The sequence below is a fragment of the Homo sapiens genome, chromosome 5, assembly GCF_000001405.40.
Source record: "Homo sapiens chromosome 5, GRCh38.p14 Primary Assembly".
In the NCBI taxonomy this organism is placed as follows: Eukaryota; Metazoa; Chordata; class Mammalia; order Primates; family Hominidae; genus Homo; species Homo sapiens.
In genome coordinates this window covers 100,006,056-100,016,897 of record NC_000005.10, presented here as the reverse complement: position 1 = coordinate 100,016,897, position 10,842 = coordinate 100,006,056, and positions in this window count along the sequence as shown.

Here is a 10,842-nt window from a genome sequence, read left to right as displayed (position 1 = left end):
GTGCTAACAAGCTTTATTAGTGATTCTGAGGCATACTGATGTTTGAGAACCACTAAAGTCTAACCCCCTACATTTACAGGTAGTAAACAGGGGACAGAGAAGTTCTGCAGTGGTTCAATATCACATAGCTAATTTAGGCGTGCTGGTTTACATCATCAGGTTCTCCTTAACCATACCACATGATAAATATTTTCAAGTTCGTTTTTGATTGTGTTTGACAATTATTACTTCTCCTAGAATTTAACACGTTCTTATAACACTTAATTTTACATGCAGAAATCATCCAGCAAGTACAATAAACACTGTAATACTTAGGAATTTGAATTGGCTAGATAATTTCTGAATATTCAGCTCTCAATCTTCTATGATACTATTACACTTCATTTCACAATTCAATTTTTAAAACTTAAACATCTCTTTTTCATGTACAGTTAACATAAAATTAAAGCAGAGCTTCTCAAATGGCATTTTCTTTTATTACGACAACTTGATTTATTTTTTGATGGCACAATGTATTTTCACAAATCCCATTTCTCTACTGTAGCATGGCTGCACCATACAAACTTGTATTCTTTGTGCATATCCCTATGATATGGAGTTTTCTGTTTTTACTTATACAGGTCTGCCTACTGGGTATATTTATATTTATTTGAACTACTTTATAGAAGGGTGTCTACATGAATAATCCAGAAATGAACATTAGAGAGGTGAAACCCTAGTGAGTCTTTTCTTAGAAATAGGACTTTGTTCATACTAAAAATTGCACTTAGTCTACCCGCTGTGGGTGACTATTTGAGCATCTTTCTGTCTCCTTCCTTTTAATACTTGTAAAGAGAAAAAAATATTTGATTTGTGAAATAAGGTTTTTAGTAGAAAATTTAAGTTGACCAAGGCTTAAAACCTATCTGAAGATAACTTAAAGACAATCAAGAAATGACTATCATGTTTTCTTGCATCTTAAATGGGAAATCCCTTAGTATCATTTTACAAGTGTCACCATTACCACATATGGGCTAGCTCAAGAAGCACTGTGTATGATGATTAAGAGAATGGTTTCAAGTATTGTAGGCATAGTAATGGCCTCTCCAACGATGTCTATATTCCACTTCCTGGAACTACGAATATGTTACATTACATGGCAAAGGGGAATTAAGGTTGCAGATGGAATTAAGGTTGCTAATTCATTGACATTAAAATAGGAAGATTATCCTGAATAATCACAAGTGTTCTCACAAGTAGAAGAAAAAAGCAGAATTGGGGAGTCAGAGAGAGATGTGGCTACAAAATACAAGTCAGAAAAAAGCAAAGGGGGCCAGAAATCCAAAGAATGTATGTGTTCACTCTATGGAAGCAGAAAAAAAACAAAGAAACAGTTTCTCCTAGGATGCCAAGAAAGTAACACAGTCCTGCTAACAACTTTATTTTAACCTGCTGAGACAAATGCAGGAATTTAAACCTACAGAACTATAAGATTTGTATTATTTTAACCCAGTAAATATGTGACAATTTTTTATAGCAGCAGTAGAAAACTAATGCAGAGAATAACAAAGATCTGGATTTGAATCTCACCTTTATCTCCCACTAGTCTTATCCTTGAGTAGCTTTTAACAACTTTCAAGCTTCAGTTTATTCATCAACAAAATTGGTATAGAATAAGAACCTACATAATGACATTGCTTTAAAGATTAAGTAAAAAAATTGCAAAGTGCTTGTCATTGGCTTTAGTATATGAATATATCAGCTATTGTGTACAAAAGTAGAATTTTTTTGATATGTGATTTAAAGGCTATTTTTTTAAGTAATTGGTCTTCTTATTGAATCTTGAGTATGTCTCAACACTTTATAAGGGTGCAGTACATGTTCATGGAATTTAAGTGTGCATTTGGTACCACTGAAATAGAGAATCATTACCTAGCCTTTATTTTGGAAAGACATATTTAGAGTCAATAAATATGTACAAAATTCTAAAATGAATACATTTAAATAATCATCTCCAATAAATAAATAAGGTAAATTTTTATCCAATATTAATATCACAGTTTATCAGGTTTACCTATAGCATCATTTTGTATATTTTTAATTTATGGGTAAATGATAGGTGTTTATATTTATGGGCTATAGGAGATTTTTTATACAAGGTATAATATCTTAGCATAATTATTGATGATAATTGGGATATATGTTTTCAATCTTTCAGTAAAATTTCATTTCTTGGAAATGTAATGTAATCTGTTGTTTATTCATTATTAAAAATTTTTTTGTTAACTCATAGTGAAAATAAAGTTCCGATCTAAAGTACCCTTAATTTACTTGCCAAATTTTAGATATATTTTCCTGTTACGTTAGCATGATATATATTTGTATGCCCCCTTCTACCTTGTTTTGAGGAGATGAATAAATGCCTTAAGCAGCTGCATGTGCTGTATATTATCCTATTTCTCTGAAGAAATTTTAAATTTTTGCACTGAGCAGAAAGTGGCATAATATTAAGTATTTAACAAGGGAAGTCAGAAGAAGGTAATATTATCCATAGAGACAGTTTTATTATGAAGATTTTTCATCAAGATTTCTCACTTCCCTGGGACTCTTCAAGTATGTGGTTATTTTTTAAAATAAATTTCCAAAAAGTAATAAATTTTAACTCATTTAACTGTGAATACTGTTCCTTTCAATTCTGAATTACGCTTTATTATCCTTCCCCACCTGAACAGAGATTTACATGAGTTTGCTTTGATTCTATGATTTCTCCAATTTTTAAAATCTTAAAAATGTTCTATATCCCTTGAAAATAATTACATTATTTCAGAAAATACTAAAGCCTTAATGGATTAAAACAGAGGAAATTTCCAGGGACTAGGATTTTTTCCTCCAAACTTCAATATGGGCACCTTTAATTATGTTTTTAGATAAATTAAGTGTTTTATAAGTTGTTAGTATTGACCGATATTTACGCAGTGCAATTTTTGCTATAATAATGCGTGTGTTCCCAGTGAGCTTTTAGATATCTTTCCACATGGAAACTCAATTAGGGATTTTTCTGTATAACAGATGCTTTTAAGAATTATGAGGGTTGTTAAGAAGAAGAAAAAATGATTTGAATTATTGAACTTGAGGTGGGATTTATATTTAATGGAAAATATTTCCACACTTTTTGTCCAGAACTGAGGGCTCAGCCAGGGTTACTTGAAAGAAGAAACAAGAATGAGAAAGGATAACTACCCATTTTTACTTCTCAAACCCATTCTACCTTCAGTAAATACACGGTAGATGTCTGTGCATGTTGTTCCGGAGCATTAGGTTAATTTTATGCTGTTCCTTTCTTTGGCTGGGAGAGGAGGGAATGTTTGTATTGTATTTTATTTTATTTTATTTTATTTTATTTATTTTATTTTATTTTATTTATTTTTTATTTTATTTTATTTTATTTTATTTTATTTTATTTTATTTTATTTTATTTTATTTTTTTGAGATGGAGTTTTGCTCTTGTTGCCCAGGCTGGAGTGCAGTGGTACAATCTCGGCTCACTGCAACCTCTGCCTCCCAGGTTCAAGCGATTCTCCTGCCTCAGCCTGCCAAGTAGCTGGGATTACAGGTGCGAGCCATCATGCCTGGCTAATTTTTGTGTTTTTATTAGAGACGGGGTTTCACCATGTTGGCCAGGCTGGTCTCGAAGACCTCAGATACCCTGCCCGCCTTGGCCTCCCAAATGCTGGGATTACAGACATGAGCTACTGCGCCCAGCCTAACTTTTTCTTTTTATTTTTCTTTATTATTATACTTTAAGTTCTGGGATACATGTGCAGAACGTGTAGGTTTGTTACAAAGGTATACATGTTCCATGGTGGTTTGCTGCATCCATCAACTCGTAATCTACATTAGGTATTTCTCCTAATGCTATCCCTCCCCTAGGCCCCCACCCCCCGACAGGCCCCAGTGTGTGATGTTCCCCTCCCTGTGTCCTTGTGTTCTCATTGTTCAGCTTCCACTTATGAGTGCGAACATGAGGTGTTTGGTTTTCTGTTCCTGTGTCAGTTTGCTGAGAATGATGGTTTCCAGCTTCATCCATGTCCCTGACACAACAAAACATTTCAGGCCAATATCCTTGATGAACATCATGCGAAAATCCTGAGTTTTTTTTTTTTAATGAAAGAAATCCATCTTGACAAATTCAAACTCATCTAATGAGTGCTCCAGTGGTCCAGATTCTCCAGCAATTATTTATTGGGTGGATGCTGGTCCAATTTAAGGTTGTTTCCTGCTGTTATGTTGGCTACACACCCACTTTTTAATCTGCTAAGAGGGATCTACAGATTTTTTATTCTCAGACTTCAATCTGACAACTTCATATCAGGATTGAACAAGGTGAAATTGGAATAAAATTGGTACAGCTGAAGTAACTCAAATGTCCATATTACTTCTTTCCCTCTCATTTATGACAAATTTTTAAGTAATTTCATGGGTAACTGTCCTTTAACAACATTGAATTGATTTTGAATAAGATTATCAGCAATAAGAAGATGTTTTTCTGTATGAAGAAGAAATATCTTAGTGGCCTGGATAAGAATCAAGAAGAGGTAGTCAGATTTCATATTTGTAATGAGATCTTACTTTTGTTTAAAATCTTTATTTTAATTAAGGTAAAATTTACATTAAGTGAAATGCACTGGAAATTTAATTGTTTCTCAAGTTTTCAGCTATTAAGAATAAGGCAGATATAAATATTCCTGTACATTTTTGGTGGAATCCCACATTACAAGCCCCAGAACACTCAAAAGCATCTGCTATACAGAAGAATCGCTAGTGGAGTAGCCATTATATGGATTCCGGGAGTAGAATTTCTGTTTTGTAGCTTTGATTTATATTTAACTCTATGAGAAAATGACAAATAATTTTCAAGATAATTTTGCCATTTTATACACCTACCAGCAATGTATGAGAGCTCCAGTGGATCTGTGTCCTGTTCTCACCAATATTTGGGGTAGTCAGTCTTTTAAATTTTAGTTAATTCCTTAAACATGAAATGGTAACTCACTGAGATTTTCATTAACATTTTCCTTATGGCTAATCTTCTTGAAGGTCTTTCCTGTGTCCATTACCCATTCTTGTATCTTTTGTTGTGAATTCTCCCTTGCAGTCTGTTCCCATTTTTCAATTGGTTGTTTTCTTTGTTATTTGTTTGCTTAGTTGTAAACTTTCATTATATGCTCTGAAAAATGTTCTTTGTCAGATATATGTATTGCAAACATTGTACCAGTCTATGACCTGCAGTTTCATATCTTAACAGAACCCTTTGATTCATCCATTTTTTTAAATTTGAAGAAGTCCAACTATTTATCTTTTAATTTTATAGTTAAGATGGTTTTTGTTTCCTCTCTAAGACCTATTTGCCTATTTCTAGGTCTTGAAAATATTAGAAGCTTTGTTTAGTTTTAATTTTTAAGTCCAGCTATATAAGCCACCTCAAGTTACTTTTTGTGTAAGGTGTAAAGTAGGGGTTGAGGGCCGGGCGCTGTGGCTCATGCCTGTAATCCTAGCATTTTGGGAGGCCAAGGCGGGTGGATCACCTGAGGTCAAGAGCTTGAGACCAGCCTGGCCAACATGGCGAAACCTCGTCTCTACTAAAAGTACAAAAATTAGCTGGGCATGGTGGCGGGTGCCTGTAACCCCAGCTACTCGCGAGGCTGAGGCAGGAGAATCGCTTGAACCTAGGAGGCAGAGGTTGCAGTGAGCCGAGATCATACCCTTGTACTCCAGCCTGGGCAAAAGAGCAAAAACTCCGACTCAAAAAAAAAAAAAAAAAAAAAAAAAAGAGGGGGATTGAGGTTCAACTTTTCTCATGCATTATCCAAATAAAAATACCATATATGCCTTGGTCTGTTTCTGGACTCTCTATTTCGTTTAATTTATTAAAATATCTAGCCTTATGTCAATAACCTGCTTTCTTGATTATATAGCTTTATAGTAAGTCTTTTAATCAGTTATTCTAAATCCTTCAACATTGTTCTTTTTTCACTATTGTTGTGAGTATCCTAGTTCCTCCATATGTTTTTTTAGTTATTAACTTATTGCCTTTTATTTACGTATTTAACCTTCTCTATTCTGTTTCTGATGCTGGAAATTGGACTGTGCAAGCTATGTTTTTCTGAGCATGACAAACAATAAGGTGAGAGGGACTACTTTCCACCACCACCCCGTCCCCCTTTTTTTTTTCCTGGAAGACTCATAGAAGCTCAAAGTTTCTGTAAACAGTATTCCAGAGTCCCCTCGGTGGCAACTATAGTTTCTACTTGCTGGCATAGCAGCAGTACTCTCTTCTTAGGGGCCTAGATCCCCACCGAAAAAATGGTTTGTTCCTTAGCAGCAGTGTCTCCTCTTTCAGACCTTGGATTCCAGTGCTATTGGCCCTTTCCTGAGAGGCAAGCGCCACCTGCGTACCACCTCTTCAAAACTGAGTTGCAATGCTAGAGGGTCCCTCTCTAAGTGGACCTTTGTTCATGCTTGAAATTTAGATTTTTCCCTATGGGGAGAGAGATTGGTAAAAATTTTAAAAATACTTTATCATTGTAAAATTTTCACATCATATTCATTTTTCTAAATAAATATAATTCTTATTCTAGTCTTATAAATATTCTTATACAATATTTTATATTCTTATAAAAACAATATAATTCTTATTATATTCTTATAAAATAAACTTGGAAGTGTCCCCTTCTAAATTTTCTGAAAAAACCTGTGTAATATTATAATTCGGTTTTCTTTAAATATTTCAGAGAATTCACAAGTATAATCATCGGACTTGCAGTTAAGTTAATTAATTATAACATTTGGAATTCCAACAAACTAAAATACCATATGTTGAGAAGAAAATCTATTATCTACAGATAGGTATAGTAGAATTGTAGGTATAAATTGAACTTAACAACCCAAATGAGTACATATTTAAATGTTATATATTAAAGTAATAAAGTATACAATAAAATGAATTGATGTCTTCATAATGACCTGGAAATGGGTCTTAGAATTTGAAATTCTTGGAATTTTTCAAATTCTAAGCCCTGTAATTTTCACCAAAGAAATGGTGGTATAAAGATATCCCTCAAGACCTAACCCAGGCCTACACTCTCTTCTTTATACTCCCAGCTCCATTGCACTATGAGGGCCTCAAATCCAACCTCTATCCACCTCCATGTGGCCATTCTGCAAAACTGGAAGTGCCCTCATCTGCAGCACAGCCTTTCTTTAGCATGGTTTCAGGGAAGAGGACTGCTTAGGCCTTGAAATAGTACTTGGGACAATTTGGACAGCAAACATCAAGATCACAAATGCCCAGAATATGGGCTAGAAGGAGATGTCAGGCTTGGGTTTGGCAGCTGTTCTGGGCATAGGGAGGGACTCCTTACTCCATGGGGAAGGGTTCCGCTGAAGGAGGGCGACAGTGAGATTCCTAGAGCATAAAGCCCAGGGCATGGACCCTCTCTTCTGTCTCTAAAGGTGATTCTGCTTACAATCCACATTCACATATTAAAAATGCATATTGTAGATTACATATTTTGATTCTGACTCTTTATAATATGCAGATTATTCAGCAGCCAACAAGCAATATTCTTCATATTCTCATTATTCAAGAAAAGGCAATTCTATTCAAATTGCTTTATTGCCTGGATTTACTGTAATGAGTATAAATAAGTTGCATAAAAATAGATTGATAAAAGCTATTTGAAATATCTAAAACTGATGATCGAATAATATAGATAATATTTTAAAACCTCTTGCAATTTAACATGAAAAATAGAAACATTCCAAAAGAAGCTAGCAAGGGCTATGAAGAATTTAAAGAAACCCAGAAGACTAATAAACATAAAGAGAAAATCTCAAACTTTCCCACACTCACGTCAGTGGAAATTAAAAGAAGAAAGACTTATCACTTGTTTACTCTATTTACTATCTAGATTATTAACATGGAATTCTAAGTAATCCATCCTAGGATATAAAAAATATGTCTGAATGAATTTCATAAGCCTTTGGATAACATGAGGAAATTGATCTTTAAATCGTCAAATATGGTTTTAAGCAAATACTTCTCTAGCTGCATGGACATTAAAGAGGTTAAAATATGAGATATGCGCTGTAAGTGTTTGAAGACATAGTGAAGATGCATTTAGAAGCAGTCTGTTCTAGTATTAGTTGATAAATTACAATAAATATTAGTTGATAAATATTATTCTAGTATTGGTTGATAAAAAATAAATCTACTATTAATTGATAAATACTACAAAGGCTTATTTTACTTGAGAATTCCATGGTAAGATTTTAGAACTCCATACCGCATAAGAGAATGGAAGACAAGCTACGGGTATACACTGAAGTGTTATATTTGCATAAAAAAATTGTGGTTGTCCATTAGCTAATTATAGTAATTTGTTTGTTCAGATTTATTGAATCTTTTCATTCCTCTAGCATTCCTTTGTAACTTCCTTTCTCATGCCTGAAATTTAATTGCAAGTTGCAGTTTGATAGTCTTATCAACCCAGCAGCTGGCATACACCTGAGGAATAAAACAAAAGTGCACGTTGGGAAACACACACAAGAATCCAATCAAGACGAAAAAGAAAATTAAATATGCCTACAGTATGCAAATATTAAACGCACAATTTTTCCTTGCTTATTTTTCCTGATATTTCTTTACTTTATATAATCATTATGTACATCCACCATTTTACACACACACATTTTCTAAACAAGTGTGAATAAATTAGTAACTTAAATAGTTCACCTTCTGGAGGATACTAATCCTAAGTCAAGCGATTATACACTTTTTACAAAAGGAGTCCTAGAAAGTCATTTACAGATACAGTTAGCTTTAGAGTTATACATGATCATGGCTCACTGCAGCCTCAAACTCCTGGGCTCAAGGTGTTCTACTGCCTCAGCCTCTTGAGTAGCTAGGACTAAAGGTGCATGCAACCGTGCCTAGATAATTAGAAAAAAAATTTTTTGCAGAGATGGGGTTTTGCTATGTTGCTCAGGCTGGTCTCAAACTCCTGGCTTCAAGAGATCCTCCTGCCTTGGCCTTCCAAAGTGCTAGGATTACAAATGTAAGTCAGCATGTCTAGCCGTTTGTTGTTGTTGTTGTTGTTGTTTTTTCAGATTGATTTCTTGTAGTGTATAGAAATGCCACTGATTTTTGTATGTTGATTTCATATACTGCAACTATGAAACCACTAGAAGAAAACATTGGGGAGACACTTCAGGATATTTAGCCAGGCAAAGATTTTTGGGGGTAAAATCTCAAGCACAGGCCACAAAAGCCAAAATAGACAAATGAAATTACATCAAGCTGAAAAGAATTTTGCACAACAAAGGAAACAATCAACAAAATGATGATAAATCCTCCAAAATGGAAGAAAATATTTGTGAACTATCCATCTGACAAGAGATTAATAACCAGACTATGTAAAGAACTCAAGCAACTCATTAGCAAAAATCAACCCAATTTAAAAGTGGGTAAAAGATTCAAATATGCATTTCACAAATGAACACATATAAATGGCTAACAGGCATATAAACAAATTCTCAACATCACTAATCATTAAGGAAACACAAATCAAAAACACAATGAGATATTATTTCACCCCAGTTTAAAGCCTATTATCAAAAAGACAAAAAATAACAAATACTGGTGAGGATGCAGAGAAAGGGAACACCTACATAATGTTGGTGGAAATGTAAAGTAGTACATTCATTTTGAAAAACAGTATGGAGGTTCCTCAGAAAACTAAAAATAGAACTGCCATATGATCCAGCAGTTCTACTGTTGAGTATACCTCCAGAAGAAAGGAAATAAGTGTATAGAAGATATGTCTGCACTACCACGTTTATTGCAGAACTATTCACAATAGCCAAGCAATGGAATCAACCCAAGTGTCTATCAATGGATGAATGGATAAAGAAAATGTAGTATGTATACACAATGGAATATTATTTAGCTATAAACAAGGATAAAATCTTGTCATTTGCAGGGACATGGGTGGAACTGGGTGTCATGTTAAGTGAAATAAGCCAGGTACAGAAAGACAAATACTGCATGTTCTCGTTATTACGTGAAAACTGAAAAAGTAGATTTCATGGAGGTAAAGCATAGAATGGTGGTCATCAGAGGCTGGGAAGGGAATGGGAGAGGGATGAAGAGAAATTGGTTAATGGATACAAAAATACAGTTAAATAGAAAGAATACATTCTAGTATTTAATAGTAAAGTGGAGAAATTATGTAGGTTTCAAAATTGCTAATGAGAATAATTGTAATGTTCCCAACACAAAGCAAAGATAAATTCTTGACCTGATGGATATTCTAATTATCCTGATTTGATTATTCTACATTGTACATATGTATCAAAAATCACATGTACCCCATAACTATGTACAACTCCAACATATTCATAAAAATATTTATTAAAAGACAGGAGGGAACTTGTAGACTGTGTATCTTTTAAGTGCATTCTTTACTCTCAGTGGTTGTTGCTTCAGAGCTTTACTTAGCTGGGACTGTCTTCCCATTTACTATGTCACACATATCCGCTTTTTTTTTTTTTTTTTTTTTAAGACAGGATCTCCCTTTGTCTCCCAGGCTGGAGTGCAGTGGTGTGATCAGGGCTCACTGGAATCTTGACATCTTGGGCTCAGGCAATCCTCCCACCTCAGCCTCCCAAGAAGCTGGGACAATAAGTGCATGTCACCACACCTGGCTAATTTTTTAATTATTTTTAAAGATGGAGTCTCCCTACATTGTCCAGGCTGGTCTCAAACTCCTGGGCTAGAGTGATCCTTCTGCCTTGGCCTCCCAA